The 18,329-nt window shown below is 36.3% G+C and overlaps 1 annotated feature.

Moving 5' to 3' along the window:
- Window positions 16,842–17,457: an enhancer, noted in NCBI's record as "NANOG-H3K27ac-H3K4me1 hESC enhancer chr7:114670265-114670880 (GRCh37/hg19 assembly coordinates)". NCBI's record gives its function as "activates a minimal SCP1, AML or CMV promoter by ChIP-STARR-seq in primed H9 embryonic stem cells {active_cell/tissue: H9 hESC(primed)}" and the evidence as "EXISTENCE:reporter gene assay evidence [ECO:0000049][PMID:30033119]".

Raw genomic sequence — 18,329 nt, 5'->3', positions numbered from 1 at the left:
AACAAGTGGAGAAGAAAATGATGAGAGTAATGCCGAGGGAAGACAGCAGTGTGTTTAACATCACAAGATCAGAGGGAGCCCAGAAGCAGAACCTAGAAAAATCCTTTCACAGCATGCAATATAGAACAAAAATCCCCAGAAAACTCAAATACTACTATTATCATGTTTCAAAACAAGAAAGCTAAGAAAGGTGACAAAAGGACCCAAGAAAAGATAGCACATACTTTCAGCCACCTGTGTGTCGGGTGGAAAGTTTTCATCAGAACCCTTTAATTCTTTCTTTTGATGTATAAGCCCAATCAAGACAATAATATGTCCTTGAACCAAAATGAATTCTCTATGATAGACTATCACTCTGGGTGATAAACAAAGCTTTTAAAGACATAAACTAGCTCTGTAGGTGGCCTTCACTCACTCCAAGAAAGCCTTTGATTAAAATAAAAATGTATGTAGGAACAAACTTGAATGAAGGCATACAAAAGGTTTCATTCCATTTGGGAGAAATAAACATGAAAATGAGACCTTTTCAATACCCCTACAAGGAAAGACAAATTGATCAAATCAGACAGTAAGAAAAAAGGAGAAAAAACAACTGCCCTTCAACTACCTCAAGATTTTTAGGAAAATAAAGATCAAGGGTTGAACTACCCTAAATAATTTTTTTCTATAGCATTCCTTAACATGCTCAACAACAAATATGAACATCTGTTCAATTGGCTTAGCTCAGAGTGCTGAAAAGCAAACAAAAGTTAAAGGAAGCTTGTGACTTCTGACCTAACGGCAATCTGAGGCAGCCCTCTCAGATGAAGAGATGAATACTGGTGCAAACCAAGTGAAAGAAATCAAAAAGCAAGTGAGAAATGGAAGAACAATGGGAAACAAAGGGACGAAATTGGAGCTGAGCTGGATTTTCGTATTAACAACAGAACTCCTAATGGATAAAAATTTCTTCTGGTTCATAGCTATAGATGACTATAATTAATAATGGAATCCCTTTCTGCCTAGTAAAAACATGTGGAAACATAAGTTATTAGGTAATTCACAAAGAAAAGCAATTATAATTATTGTACATTTACTCACCTAGAAGAGTATCCTGTTGGATTTTGAATATAATGTAAACAAAACTTTCTAAAGACAATTCTCGTAAAGTGAGTTCATAGCACAATCACTAGAAGCACAACCGTTTTCAGAATTTCGAGCGGGTAAGAGAAATTCAGAATTGAGGGTCCTGTTAGTAAACTCACCATTTGATGTCTCGAAGAGCACCAGAGTACTTAAAAATGGCAGAGATCAGCGGCAAACCATTCACTTTAAGTTCTCTAAAAGTACATTTTTAAAAATACCTATAAGCTTTTTGGGGAAGAGAGGTTGAATTTGGCTACATTTGGTTGATATGGCTAGGTATTGTTTTTCTAGGAAAACCAAAAGAAATAAAAAATGTACATGAACAGACATTTTTAAACTATCACAAGTTCTGCTGACAGATTTGATGGTTCATAGAGCAAAGATATTGCAATCTGACTTTACTGTAGAGAAAATAGAAAGTAGAATTTTAATTTTTTATTGTTTCATTTTAGCATATTTTAAAATTTTTAAATACAAGGAAATGCTGAAATGCTATCATGTAAATAAGATAGAATTTTAAATTAATTTAAGTGTTCCCTTCTCATTTATTATCTCACACTGAAATAAAAGTGAGGAAATAAAAACACAGTAAGTTAAATACTAATTCTTCCACAATTCAAATTTTTTTGGCCAATCCCTAAAATCACATGTGATCAGATATTAACAATTCTTGATTTGTCTTAATAATAGGGTACTGGTAAGGCAAGAATAATTTAAATCAATATTTATTACCCAAACCTATTTAAACTAATATTTTTTTCTTTTATCTCATCAAATATTTCTTATTTTAAAAATCAGAATTGCAAATAATCAAAGACACTTATGAATACACTAACAACTGGGGCTCTGCGTTAAGTTATATATAATGTACTTTATTTTTGAAACAGTACAAAATGCTTGGAGGAAGCATCAAAAATATCTATTAATTATTAATATCCATAAGGAAACCATACATAAATGCATTTAAGCACTCTTAACTGTTTTATTCAAATAATTACGAAGTTTCAGAATGACTGATTTTTGGTTTTGCGTAGTAAAGAATACTAATATAGATAAATTATCAATTTAATAATAATTTTTTAAATGCCTGAAATACTTGGTCTTAGCAATTTATTTTTTTCCTGGCATGCTGTTTAGAAATTTGGGAAACACAGATCACAAAAAGAAGAACAAAAATCACTAAAAGTATTCAAATCTCACCAATTAGAGGCAACCACTATTAAGTATTAGCGTATTTTTCTAAAAGAGTGAAAGTGCTAGAGAGAAAATTTTATGAAATTAGGAATTTACTTTTTTTTTTAAAAAAAGCGCTGTATTCTTACATAAAGGATATCAATACCTTGTCTCTTAATGTTTGTAGTAACAATGTTCCCAGTTAGCCATTTTGCCTAATAATTTTGTTTCTGTGTTTTGAAGTTGGTTATTTACTTTTTGGAAATTCATGAAGTGAATCCTCTTCCTGAAGTGTAATCTTTTGGAATCAGGGACTTTGTTTCAACATTATGTCTTTTCCCCATTGCTTTCAAACCTAAAAAGTCACTAAATATTTATGTAAAAGATACTGGTGGTTTGATCAGAGCAGTTTTTTGGGGCAGCAATTTTCAAACATTTAATTTCAGATTCCCATTATGCTGGGTTATATCTGTCCATAGTTTCCATATTCGAAATTAAAACAAAGATATTTTGTGAAACTATATTTTTAAATACATTCTATACAAATATCATGTTTTTGTGAAAAATAACAATATTTTCCAAAATGAAAATATTTAGGAAGAAAAGTTTCATTGTTTTTACACACTTGCAAAACTCTCTCATGTCTGCCTTAATAGACAAGAGCTGGAGTCTAATATCTGTTTTTGTACTCAGTCTATTGCAATATGGTGCTTTGCTTAAATTAGAGGAAGAAAACTCCAGCTTTACACAGATATGTTGATAGAAAAAGAAAGAATATTATGATAGTCTTTTAAAATAGTTGTCGATATTCTTCTTTGATGGTCCTCACACACAAAATATTGCATATATAATTGCACACACGCTAGTCTTTTACAGGTTAATTGCAACTAGAAATCTGGAACCATGTCAATAAACTTTTTGTACTGTTGCATTAAAATCTATTGACCTATCTTGCACTTTGAATGGTCTTTTACCCTTACACAATCCTATAACATCATTCATTTATCTTTGGGAAATTTGGTTCCCTTAGTTATGCAGAGCTGCCAAATACTAACATCTTTCATTATGTTTCATTATAAAATGTTTTCAAATTGCACTTATTGTTATTATCATTGATTTTATTTTAAAAACGATTCTGAGTAATGGATACACATTTTCAAAAATTCAAATTTTCACTTGAAAGTTCAAATTTTATTATTCACAATAAATGCTGACCATTGTTTCCCTTGAGGTGACAGATTTACTTCATCCATTTTAGAGATAAGTCTGCCAAATACCATAACAGCCTGAAAAACTGTAGGTTGTCTATTAGTAATTATTTCAAATAAAAATGATTCACCATGAAAGTGGCTTGTTTAGCTCATGATTGAAACACACAAGTGTTTTTCCTCAATACAGTCATTTTATTACAGCATGCAGAAGTGTTCTTCCAATTTTATCAAGCTGAATATTTAGAAAATCTTGTGCCTAAGGGTCAAGATTGCATGCAACTAGTAGGTATTATTGCTTCATCAAAGATATTCTTAAGGGAAAACCGCAGTTTCTTTTAATATCAGCTTGTGCTGACACAGGAGACAATGATTAATTTTGCAGCTTGGTACCAATGTCCTGCTTTGTGTTAAAGATCAGGTTTACTCACCACTGCTTTTGCACCATAAGTATACAAATATTGACATGATGAAAAACATAAAATAGTGTCTTTCTGTTACTATGAAAATAGTTTTAATCTTGAAGACCCACTGCAAGGTTCTCATGGGCTCCCGGGAGTATGTGGACTACATTTTGAGAACCTCTACTTTAGATAATTTTTCTGACAAGATTCCTGGGGAAGGCCTGTGATTTATCCAGTCCTATTGCTCATTGTTAGAATAATAGTTTGTTTTATTTAACATATAACATTAATCCAAAGAATCTTTAAAAATCAAATTGGCAAATATCCTCCTCCCATCCCCAGCCAGCCACCACTACTGAATAACCTGTCCACTACTACCCAAGATTGCCAAGGTCATAAAAAATAAGGAAAGACTGAGAAACTGTGACAGACCAGAGAAGACAGGGGAGCCAAGCCAACTTAAAGCAATGCAACACCCTGGACTGAACTGTACAACACATCAAGGATATTAATGGAGAAACTGATTAAATCTAAATGAAGTCTGAAATGTGGTTAATAGTAATGTAGCAATGTTGGTTATTAATTTTGAAAAATATGATGTAAGGTATTACTAATGGGGGAAACTGGATGATAACAATACAAAAACTCTCATTGCTGTCTTTGCAACTGTTCAATGAATCCAAAGATTCTTCTAAAATTTAAAAACAATAAGTTTTTGAGGGATAAAAATCTTAAGGCAGATCAAGGACCCACATACAGAGCTCAAAATTACTCCTCTGCTCAAAATTCATTTGCTAACTATTTTGTACAAAGTTAGAGCCAAAGTGCTTAAAATCCCTGTATAATTTGGCCACCCACCCACTTTCTAGTATTTTTTTTAGGTGGTCTTTCCCTAGCTCACCTTGCTCCAGCCATGCAGGACACTGGGCAGTTCCTCTAACATCTCAAGCACGTGTCTGCGTCAGGGACTTTGCTCTTGCTTTTCCCACTGCCAGGGACATTCTTCTCCCAGATAATGGAGGCCTCTGTACAAATTTCACCTTATTGGAGAGCTCTCCTTCATCTATTCTATATAATATAATAACCACCTTTGTCATTCCTTATTCCATTTACTCTGCTTTATTTTTCTCAATCTGATATAACATCACCAGCTAACATATATTGTTTATTGTCTCTTCTTCCTGAAGTGCAATCTTTTGAAGGCAGGGCGTTTACTTCAACATGATGTCTTATTCCAACATTATATCTCTGACTAATTTTATGTGTGTTTAAAAAGTATTTTGATGATATGAACTAAAATTAGCAGTTTTTTTAAAACATTGTATTTTCGTAGCAAAACAAAATAATTGAAAATCCTGTTTATTCTTAAAACTGTTTCTGGAATTGTTACTGGTCTAAGACATCTGAAAGTTTGATTTTAAATTTCTGCATACTATAAGGCTCTAGGGAGATTCAGGGGGAAATATAGACTGAATATCCGAATGAGGCAACATTTTAATGGCCACCATTATTAATTTAAATATTACTAGTACAAAATAGCAACATAAATATTATATCTTCTAAAATCTTATAAATCTGGTAACTTCTCTAAAAAATTTCAGGTAGAAAAACCTCTAATAAATCTTATCTTCTGAAGGGTATTATTTTTCACTCTGTGTGTAACACAAAAATGAACTGGGAAATGATTTAGGTCTTTTTTCTAAGATAAAGATTTAGTTGAAGGATGTGTTTTTGATATTTACCTAATTTTTCCCCACTGAATATGTAGGTATGCTGTTATATATATATATATACACACACACCTTATTTTAATTCATATTACTAGATAAGTGACAATCTAAGTAAAAAGTACACAATATTAGAAAAGAAAGTCCTTCAAGGTCTGATTGCATTGTCCTTCGCTAATTGTGCCTAGCAATTTATTCAAACTTTGAAACCTTTTTAAAAATTATGTTTCACACCATTTATAAATAACAGCAGAAAATTAAACGCTACACTGTTGTATTTTGAGTTACCGTATTTCTTAAAAGACAAATGGTTTTCTTTCTACATTTATAGAATTCTAAATGATAAAAAAGTTTCATTGAATTCTGAGCTATATTCAAATGTTATTTCTTACTTTTGCATTTCTTAGATTTGAGATACAAAGATGGTTATCATTGGCCCAAAAAGTAGTGTCCAATTTTTAATATTGACAAACCTTATATATTTTAAAACTGAGCATATTAATTCCTCATTACTCCTGTGCTGATATCCTCTTCTGTCGCTGCCTCCCAGTAGATCTGTGTCTGGATTCTGGGTAATTATAACTTGGTAGACCTGACAGTAATATTTAATATATGGCAAATACATAAGTGTTTTAAAGTCATCAAATTATTAGCGCAGAAAGAAAGTTCTGAGATTGGAAATAAAATCAATAGTTTCAACAAAACTGTGAAATTACTCTCCAAATATCTGTATAGATATATAATAGCTATATCTATATATATAGATGGATAGATTCTATATATAGGAAGAGAGAGAGAGATTTTATCTCAAAACAAGCTAGATGGTGGATCTGTAGAATAGACTGAAACAGGTACATGAAGTGATAAACGAAGCTGAGTCTGTGGCCCCACTGAGGTCTGGACCCACACACAGGTCAAGATAGCAGAAAGTTCTTTTACTGTGATGTAATGAAGACCCCACACAATCTGGGGAACCTACATCAAGCTTAGTTCTTGACACAAGTATCTGGGAAGTTGTTTCCTGTTCCCTGCCTTCCGCTCCCACTGTTCTTTGAAAAGAGTATGAAAATAGGTGCTTTAAATTACTTGGGATCATAGTTCATAGGATAACGTATGTTTTGAGAGGCAGGAAGAAGGGCATTCAGACTTGAAGCAAACCCAAAATCCAACTCAGATACTGGGTGTCTCACATTTCTGCATGAATAACAAGAATGTTTGTAAAATGAACATCCTTGGGAGATAGAGATAGCATCTCTTTCTGAAGCCCTTGTCATGTTTGCTTATTCTTCAGTGTAATAAATATAACATATTCCTCCAGGACAAAAGTAGAACACATTTGCTTGCTGCAGATTAGAAAATATGTGAGTTCTCTAAGCTTGGGTAACCCAGTCTCTTGCATGTACAGGCATTGCCTATCCCTCTTTGTTTTATCCTGTGGGAATTGGAGCTCATAGACCTGGTGCAAATGATGTTATTCTGGATATTGCTACTTCTGTTAGTAATTATGTTCTTTGTCTTTAGCCCAGGAACCTTGTGTCTTCTGACCGCATCTATGAAACTGTGGCAGGCTGACTTTTAACTTGCAGATATAGTAAGCTCTCAGACTCTTCACAGTTGTAGGCATTGTTAAAAGATTGAGATAAGTCTCTATGAAACGATGTGGAAAGATCTCCAAGACATATTGCTAGGGGAAAAAAATCTCAAAACTACATATGCATATATGAATACATACACATGTTTTATATATATATATATATAATCATATGTACATATATACGCACGAGCACATATGAATATACACACACTATAAACCCATTCTTGAACTCAACGCACACAAATAAGTATGTAAATATTAAAAGAAATTTCCGGAAGAATGTGCACCGAATAATTACAGATGATTACTTATCTACCAGAAGAGAAACGTGAATGGGCATTTGGGTTGGAGATGAGTGGGGCAATGAATCGGATATTGAGGAGAACAGAGTTCAAGCAGTTGGCTCAGGATACGTTCAGTCTCTTTGCCAATGGAGAGGACCTCTGGTTTCAAGAAAGTAAGGAGAAGTAGTTTGATCTAATCTCCTTGTCAGCTGGACTTCCATGCAAATAGACTAATAATATTAGCTAGGAATAAGAGACCTTATTCACAGAACTCTCTTAGCAGGCCCTGAGGAAGGGATTATTTATAATAAATGTATCCATATATAATAAATACATCCAAATAAATCTATGGATTTATGAGGCATGACTTCTAGGAGAATGTCCCATAAATTGTAGAACTTTCTTGGGTTAAAAAAAAATGGAAATGTCATATCATTTAAATGCTTCTGACTGTATCAAGTGACCCTGCACGACCTTACTTGGAAGCCTCATATGACTCTGGGTCAAAGACAATATGCGCAATCTAAAAAGAAGGACCCAAGGAGCCACACAGGAGTCTCAGAACTTTCTGCTTTATCTGTGCTTCTAGATTGAGGATAACTTTAAAATTATTTGTCAAGCTTAATACTGGGTGTGATGTCGGATTTGTGTGAGACTGCTTTGATAATTCAATACTACATCCACCAACACACTACTTCCCTGACCACCACTACACAACCCATACATTTTGATTATTCTTGACAAAGTCATCAAAAATACAATAAGCCCTTTTCAGTACATTCTATATATTTGCCTAATTAAAACTATATTTGCAATTTTTTCTTGGATTCTATGATACTGTTTCTTTATGGGTATTATTCCACCTTCTAACAACTCTACATTTAATGAGCACGAGCATTTACTTTTTTTTTTTTTTTTTTTTTTTTTTTTTTTTTGAGACGGAGTCTCGCTCTGTCGCCCAGGCGGGAGTGCAGTGGCGCGATCTTGGCTCACTGCAAGCTCAGCCTCCCGGGTTCATGCCATTCTCCTGCCTCAGCCTCCCGAGTAGCTGGGACTACAGGCGCCCACCACCAAGCCCGGCTAATGTTTTGTATTTTTAGTAGAGACAGAGTTTCACCGTGTTAGCCAGGATGGTCTCAAACTTCTGACCTCATGATCCACCCGCCTCGGCCTCCCAAAGAGCTGGGATTACAGATGTGAGCCACCGCGCCAGGCCTAATGAGCATTTACTTTATCCTTGGTATTTAGCACGTATTTCCTATTTTATGCTCACAACACCCCCATAATATGTGTTATTATTTCCATTTTATCCCTCTTTCAGAGGAGCATAATGAGGCTCAGAGAATGCAGTCATGTGCCCAAATTCACACAGACAGTGCATTATAGAGCCCAGATCAAACCCAATCCTTTATGATTCCAAAGCCTGGGCACTTACTTCTTTCCTCATTTTGTCTCTGACTCTTAAATGTTTTCCCAAAATTTCTTTTCTTACACTTCTATGCCTGCTCCAAATTTATATTCTTAAGCCATTCTGGATCAACAGCCACTTTGAAAGCTTGAAGAAAATGATGGACTTATTTCCCAGAAAAGTGCATATAGAAATAAATACAAACCCATTTCATACTTTCTATGACTTTACAGTGAAATCTGGCCATGAAAAGAGGTGCCGGTCTATGTGTTTACTCTAGTGATCTCATCAAGTCTAGTAGCTTCAACAAGCACCTGTTTGTGGTTGCCTTTTATAGCAAATGCATCTAATGCCCTGACACACCTCTTAGCGCTCTAAGAGTGCTACCTCTGTTTCAGCTGTGGATAGCATTGATAGTCCCCTGAGGGCTTGCCGATAAAATCTAGCATCAAGTAACCCCTTACTAATGTTCTGCATCAAGAGTTCTAGCTCAGACCACCGTGGAATCCAGTTTGGCCAGAGTAAGTGCAGCTTAGCAATGTGGGATCTTACCACTGGGAGCAATGTCAGGCAATGGAGTAGGAGTTTCCGGATTAATGTCCCTACTTCCTATCCTTTAGGTGCACATTTCTGGGAAATATTGTGTGTCTTCTCAGTGGTGGAGCCCCACTACCCACAGTGACAACCTCAATGACACTCAACCTGGCTTTTCCTCCTTATCTGTCTCCCTCTTCCTGCTCCCTCATTCCTGCTCTCGAGATCACTTCCCAAATAAACTAAATGTGAATTCTTGCTTCAGACTCCTCTTTCAGGCCAACCCCATCCAAGCTAAAACAATTCTCAAATTCACTTTTCTACTACTGACCTCTCTTTTAAGGTACCATCCAGCATGTCAAACTGCATGAATAATTTAACTTTCATGTTGTATGGGGCCTTCATTCTTAGCACATTCCATTCATCTAATGTCCCTTATCTTGGTTAGTGACATCATTATAAGGAAGTTCTTCAAGATTAAAAAAAAAAAAAAAAAAAAAAAACTTTGGTGTTGTCCTTGACTCTTTCTCATTCTCTTTGACCATCAGTTATCTCCCATATGTCTCATTTCACCCACCCTCCTCCTTTCCCCACTGCCCTAGCCTTAGCCTTGAGTTCGAGACAATCACTTACCTCTCTATACTAACAGCCTCATAATCTGGTCTCACTTTCTCCCTTGCCTCTCCCTCATTTCCAGTATCTTCCACTCTATTTGCCTAATGATCTCTCTAAAACACAAATCTGAAACTGCACTTCTGGCTTTAAATTATTCCAGAGAGAACAAAATATGAGTTACTTGGCATGGTATAAAAATTTTAAAAACCTTCTCAATGTAGCCACAGTTTATTTTCAGTTTCATCTTCCACTTTGTCCTTATTGTAGAAGTTGTTTTTCAGCCACATTGAACATCCCCTGGTCTTAAAACAAGTTTGTGCTCTTCACCACTTCATGTATTTGTAGTAGATGCTATTCCTTCTGCCTGAACAATCCTCTCTCGTGTCTGCCTGAAATCATTTTTCAAGAACTAACTCAAATAACATTTCCATCATAATTCTTGCTCCTCTCAAGCTTTGGTCTTCTGCAATCCCGTATGATTTTCACATTTCTCTGTCTTCTCACAATGTATTTTAACATTTGTTCACTTTGTTATTTCCCTGAGTCTACTGTGTGCTCCATAAATGCTGCAATGTTGACTTATCTTGTCTTCCCAGTGCCTAGAAAAAAGTGGCTGCTTAAAAACTATGTGCCAAACTCAATTGAAAGGTACAGAGAATGTCAAGAGGGAAGTAGATATTGAAGAAAGGCACAGGGAAAGAATGATCAACTGGGGAGAACTTATTTATAAACAGACAATTTGGGAGAAGTAAAGAGTGGTGAATGAAAACGGAGCTCAAATATAAAAGGAAAGTCAGAAGTCGTAAGAAAAATGTCCACACCCAGAATGCAAAGAGAAGAGTAATACACATGGCACAGACAGATGCTCAGGTCCAGAGATGTAGCCGTAATTTAAAAACAAAACTTGTCCTGCTGGTGATTAATGTTAAATTTCCAAAGTATTGCTGCTATTTATACAAACTGCTATATTCTTAGGGTTAATTTAGCTTAATATTTCAAATTATTCTTTAAAAATTATTGTGCACACAAAGGCATTATGTGTGCAATAATATTAAGTTATTGGAATGTTATTTCCTATTTTGAAAGGTTTTATAAATTGCAATTTCTCTCTTAGGAAACTTGGTGCTCCAGGCTTGTGTGTCAGAAAGAATGTTGAGCATCCGTTTCTGAGTTTCTCATATTTTGCCTTATTTAAAAGCCAGAGGTGGAACCCCAGGAATAGTGGTATTAGGCTGCAAAAAGTCTCTGAAACTTTCACAAATAAAAAACTCAACATGCTTTATCATATAAGTAACTTTAGAAGAAATCGTTTTGATGTATAGTGTTAATTCCCCTCCCCAGACTGTACTACACAAATAGATAAGATTTGAAATCTTTTTTTGATTTCAATATAGAAGATATGTTGGAAAGATGCCAAATTTATTATGATGTCCCTACATTCTGAATTCATATGAAAAAGGATTTTCCAGAGTTCTAATAAAAATAATATTTTCCCAACAGTGCACTGATCCTTTTCTGTTGTTCTGCAGTGATGTGATAGTCTATTGTGTCACAATTCGATGTTCTACAAATCCTTTGGCTTAAACACTGTCAATGGTTTCTGTTAATGTTTTCTTAGTATATTATAATTGTATTTATCTGTTCTCTACCTGTCCATGTTTTCTGTTAATCTGAGCTATTTTTCCATGGGTTTCCCCTCTTGGGAGGAGACAACTATATTCCTCATGACTATATTATATTCAGATTTTGCTACAGGAGTGTCAGCGAACTTCTTCAGAATGTTCTTCCAGGATATAGGTGGTTACATCAAACAAGGAGATGAGATAGATAGATAGATGATAGATAGATAGATAGATAGATAGATAGATAGATAGATAGATGATAGACAGATAGATAGGTAGATAGATAGATAGATAGATAGATAGATCTCCTATATCCTAATTACGTGTGTGTGTATGTCTTTGTATCAGTACACCATTAACAGTTTATTATTTTGTGGAATCTCTTTATACTTAGCTCACCAGCATATAATAAAATAATATACTTAGCTCACCAGCATATAATAAAAATCTGTACTTCTAGCTGAGTTGGAAGCAACCAGAAGATACAAAATGCAAACTGGAAAACGACATCAACATAATTTTTAAACTAAGGGAATGTTGTTGACATGTTGCATATATAAACATAAAAAGTGATTGTAGGATTTTTATTATTCTCCTTTGATGAGGTTCAATGTAGGATATTAGTTTTTCTTTTGCTGGAGTTTTTTACGTACATATATACACCAGTTTCTCCCATTACCTTGTAAGATTTCCTGGACCATAAACTATCCCTGAGAATTGATTCCACACTCCCTCAGATATGACTTTTCATAAGCCAAGTCCTTTAAAAATACATTTCATATATTTCTCAGACTACATGTCAAATCAGTATCATGCAAACATAATACTTTTACTACTTTCTTAGAGCATGGTGTTGAGAGGAAAAAATTTAATATATCTGTGAGACATCTACATTAATGCAATGGTGCAATATTGAAACTGCTTTTATCTGCCACATTTCTCAAATGAAAGCGGCAGCTAAATTTTATGGTAGTTAAACTGTGAAGCTTGCTCACAATCTTGCCTATGTGGATGTAGCCCTTTGGTATTATTAAGGCAGTAGTCTTTATTCTGCATCTTAGACTTTAAAAGTTGCTATGGATATAAGAAGCCTATCATGTGGTCATGTCTACACCGTAAAATCTTTCCAAAGTGTGCAGCAAATTCTTGATAGAATTCACAGGTGTTTCAAGAAATTAGAGTAAAATTTCATCTGGCATTGCCACAGTGCACTGTAGAGGAGACAGTGATCTAGCAAGGCTCCCAGAGACACTGGAATTCAATGTGTTACTAGTTCCTGCGTGAGTTTGGAACAATCTGCCTGTTGTTTGCCTCTCCTGCTGTCTCCCTTGTAATAACCTTGTACTTCACACACAAGCAAAGTGTACCTTCCACTATTTGAACAACAACAAAAAAGGCTATAATTCAGTATTTTGAGGTAAATATAGCCTTTATTAGTTATTAGGCTAATTATTTCAGAGGAGTATACCATTAGCAGAAAAATGGGCTACAGGTAAGCAACTTCCCATGCAAATATGTTTAAGTGGCTTGGAAAGGGATTATGTTTTAAATATCCTTATACTTTTATGTAAATTGAGTATGCTAGAATCCTTGCTGTGATGCTGATAAACTCCTTTCATCAACCACAGTGAACAATATCTTTTCTTTAGCTGTCCTGATTAAATGAGTGACATTCACTATTGGTAAATCCCCCACAGAGTAACTCAAGCTCACATGTGCCTAGCCACAATACCAGTAATGACATGATTCTGAGGGGATTTGAAACCCTACCTCAACAAATTTATTTCTGTTTTTCAACATATATTCAAAGCAATACTTTGGCATTGTAATGTGATTCTTGACAGGGCTAAGGTAAATTCATCATGCTAAACTGAAATGTTTCTGGCAGATGTCTACTCCATAACAATCAAATTTTGTGTACTGTAATATATGACAACCACAGTGTTACTTCTACTTGTAAAACTTACAAGTATAATACTTTATTAATGCAAACCTGGAATGTAATTATGCAATATGTTATCGTGCCATATTTTTTTCATTTAGAAAAAACTTCTTGAGGACAGTCTGACAACTTATAAATAATGGGAATTTTTAAATGAATATAGAAAGGATATAACTTTTTTATCACAAAGATATTCTGGCATTTTGATACTTTTCAAAATTGTATATTTGTTGAAATTTAAGAGAGCATAAAAGTGAAATGTTTTCTCTTATTAAATATTAACTTTGGTCCCCATGGAAATGGTTATTTGTCAGAGATGGATGCTCTTCTTTGAAGAAGAAATAATTAAAATGCCACCACTGAGTATTGAAATATTTTAAAAATAGATAGATTTTGTGATAACCTCTGCCTAAATATCTGCATTATCTATGTATTTAGTACAATTCATCATATTTTAGGACTAAGAGCCTAAAAATATTTGCTTGAGAGAAAATGTAATCCAAATGAATGGCGACCTTTTGACTTCACTACAAATGGAAAGCCTCAGCCATTATTCCTTTTAGTCTGTGGCATTCACTCAACACAAAAACACTCATGGAATCAGAATATAAAACCTTTCAAGATTCTGGTTAAATTTAAGATTTTATATTATGGTTTGGATTCCCATTGCCTTGTCTCCCATGCTTTCAACAATTATTTCAAAATAAATATTTGCAAGAACAGATGAAATCTCTTTATTCCTATTTGATGATCTAGTTGCCAGATGCAAATTGAACATCTGCCTGGGAAGCTGCCTTGTGATTTCCTTTAAGTATCATCCTCTACCACTAGAGACAGAAATAATCCATGTGGCTTGCTTTTGCCCTGGTGGCTCCTCTTCTCTCTTATTTTTCTTAGTAAGCACCGTATTTTAAAGACCTTGAAATTTCACTTGTATTCCCAATGCAAATTTAAATATTTACATTTTAGCATAATTATTTAAAAAAAAAACAAACTTTCATCCCATGACCCTTTTGTAATTTATTGTGAAAATAAAACTGTTAAAGCATGTTTGGATCATTTTATTCGGCCTAAGAAAACAAAATGTGTGATGCACATAATTTATGACAAATTAGGCAATCTCTTGGGGCCAGTAAACACCCTCCCAGACTAACACAAAATTTGGAACATGCCCAACTGAGAATTTGAATCAGGTTGTGTAAAAAGACAAAGGCTGGCAAAAATATAATTTTGGAAAATTTACTCACTAATTGCAGAGCTGCTGGAGGCCAACCGAAGAGATTTGGATCATACAGTACCTAAGACTTACGATGGAACTGAACTTCTTCATTAAGCAAGTTAAAAATCAATTAGCAATCAGTTGATTTAGTTAAAAATGGTCAAGTCAGTGTGTGCATATAGTTTGGTGGAAATTTTTTCTCTCTTTCAATTATTATGCTTGCAATTGTCATGCAATATGCATCTTAGGACTACATATCCAATTGTTCACATTATTTAGGTTATTCATACTGTAATATGCATATATATTTACCCATTCATTCACTTAAAAACCAACAAATATATAATTGAACATCTCTTACATACCAGGCACTCTGGATATGCCTTGTCCATCTCTCCTTGGCTCCTTGTGTTTCTCTCACTTCTGCTTACTGCACCGTTTGGCTAACATGCAACACTGGCATACTAGGATACTGGAAGATTTTACTCTGGTATTTATCTTACTAGTTCATCCACCTAAGCACCACATATACTACCACAGTCATCATGTATACCCTAATAGGAATTATGATGAAAGTTCCTAATGTTAGTGAAACTGCCTGTGAATCACTTTCAAATCCATTGCATTGCTTAAGGAAAATACAACATTTGTGACCTGAAACATGAATGTACTTCATAACTTCTACGAACTTGACTTTTATTTAACATTCAGACAGTCAGTTTGTATGCAAACACTGGGCACATTTAATATGTTCATTCACCTAGGATAGTCTTTCAATATCCTTCCAGAAAGGTATTACTTCAGTTCCCTCTCACCCGTCTGTTCCTACAGCCAATGTGTTAAATCAGGTCCTCACCATCTTTTGTGTTTGTAAATGAATGGAAAACCTTTCAACTGCCTATCCAAGTTCATTCTTCATCTCCTCGAGTTCATCATCCATACTGCTGCCCCCATAAAAATGTGATCAAAATATAAATTTGATCTCACCATTTCCTTGATTCAAATCTTCAGAAGGCTTCGTATCACCTACAAGACAAAATTGGGAACCTTCAGCAAGGTGTTTAAGGTGCTGCCTCACTGGACTCAGTTCTGCTTTTTCCCATCGCTCCCTACTCTCCATCCTGCTGCAACATAACTGTAAATACACAAGGCATGTATAAATAATGCATGGATGAAAACTTCTCCAAATCCAAGTTTGAATGCTTCCTCTTCTGAGAAAATTTCCTGATTCTCCTAGGGAGACTTAGTCACTCTCACTTCTCAACTCTCATTGCAATTATACTTGTTTCTATTCCAACCATTTAATGTTATTGAATTAATGTGCATTCTGTCCCTTTAGGCCAGGCGTAGTGGCTCACACCTGTAATCCCAGCACTTCGGGAGGTCGAGGTGGGTGGATCACTTGAGTTCAGGAGTTCAAAACCAGTCTGGCCAACATACTGAAACCCTGTCTCTACTAAAAATACAAAAAATAGCTGATGTGGGGGCACACACCTGTAATTCCAGCTACCCAGGAGGCTGAGGCAGGAGAATTGCTTGAACCCTGGAGGTGGAGGCTGCAGTGAGCTGAGATTGCACCACTGCACTCCAGCCTGGGTGACAGAGCAAGACTCCGTCTCAAAAAAAAAAAAAAAAAAAAAAAAGTAGTGAGTTTTCTAACTTAGGATTGAACTATGTGTTTAAGATCTGATAACGGGGAGGGAGGAGCCAAGATGGCCGAATAGGAACAGCTCCGGTCTACAGCTCCCAGCCTGAGCCACGCAGAAGACAGGTGATTTCTGCACTTCTATCTGAGATACCGGGTTCATCTCACTAGGGAGTGCCAGACAGTGGGCGCAGGTCAGTGGGTGCAGTGCACCGTGCGCGAGCCGAAGCAGGGCGAGGCATTGCCTCACTGGGGAAGCACAAGGGGTCAGGGAGTTCCCTTTCCCAGTCAAAGAAAGGGGTGACAGACGGCACCTGGAAAATCGGGTCACTGCCACCCGAATACTGTGCTTTTCCGACGGGCTTAAAAAACAGCACACCACGAGATTATATCGCGCACCTGGCTCGGAGGGTCCTACGCCCACGGAGTCCCGCTGATTGCTAGCACAGCAGTCTGAGATCAACCTGCAAGGCGGCAGCGAGGCTGGGGTAGGGGCACCCGCCATTGCCCAGGCTTGCTTAGGTAAATAAAGCAGCCGGGAAGCTCGAACTGGGTGGAGCCCACCAGAGCTCAAGGAGGCCTGCCTGCCTCTGTAGGCTCCACCTCTGGGGGCAGGGCACAGACAAACAAAAAGACAGCAGTAACCTCTGCAGACTTAAATGTCCCTGTCTGACAGCTTTGAAGAGAGCAGTGGTTCTCCCAGCACGCAGCTGGAGATCTGAGAATGGGCAGACGGCCTCCTCAAGTGGGTCCCTGACCCCTGACCCCCGAGCAGCCTAACTGGGAGGCACCCCCCAGCAGGGGCACACTGACACCTCACACGGCAGGGTATTCCAACAGACCTGCAGCTGAGGGTCCTGTCTGTTAGAAGGAAAACTAATAAACAGAAAGGACATCCACACCAAAAACCCATCTGTACATCACCATCATCAAAGACCAAAAGTAGATAAAACCACAAAGATGGGGAAAAAACAGAACAGAAAAACTGGAAACTCTAAAAAGCAGAGTGCCTCTCCTCCTCCAAAGGAACGCAGTTCCTCACCAGCAACGGAAAAAAGCTGGATGGAGAATGACTTTGACGAGCTGAGAGAAGAAGGCTTCAGACGATCCAATTACTCTGAGCTACGGGAGGACATTCAAACCAAAGGCAAAGAAGTTGAAAACTTTGAAAAAAATTTAGAAGAATGTATAACTAGAATAACCAATACAGAGAAGTGCTTAACGGAGCTGATGGAGCTGAAAACCAAGGCTCGAGAACTACGTGAAGAATACAGAAGCCTTAGGGGCTGATGTGATCAACTGGAAGAAAGGGTATCAGCAATGGAAGATGAAATGAATGAAATGAAGTGAGAAGGGAAGTTTAGAGAAAAAAGAATAAAAAGAAATGAGCAAAGCCTCCAAGAAATATGAGACTATGTGAAAAGACCAAATCTACGTCTGATTGGTGTACCTGAAAGTGATGGGGAGAATGGAACCAAGTTGGAAAACACTCTGCAGGATATTATCCAGGAGAACTTCCCCAATCTAGCAAGGCAGGCCAACGTTCAGATTAAGGAAATACAGAGAACGCCACAAAGATACTCCTCGAGAAGAGCAACTCCAAGACACATAATTGTCAGATTCACCAAAGTTGAAATGAAGGAAAAAATGTTAAGGGCAGCCAGAGAGAAAGGTCGGGTTACCCTCAAAGGGAAGCCCATCAGACTAACAGCGGATCTCTCGGCAGAAACCCTACAAGCCAGAAGAGAGTGGGGGTCAATATTCAACATTCTTAAAGAAAAAAATTTTCAACCCAGAATTTCATATCCAGCCAAACTAAACTTCATAAG

The sequence above is a fragment of the Homo sapiens genome, chromosome 7 (assembly GCF_000001405.40).
Source record: "Homo sapiens chromosome 7, GRCh38.p14 Primary Assembly".
In the NCBI taxonomy this organism is placed as follows: Eukaryota; Metazoa; Chordata; class Mammalia; order Primates; family Hominidae; genus Homo; species Homo sapiens.
This window is presented reverse-complemented; position numbering and strand designations above follow the sequence as displayed.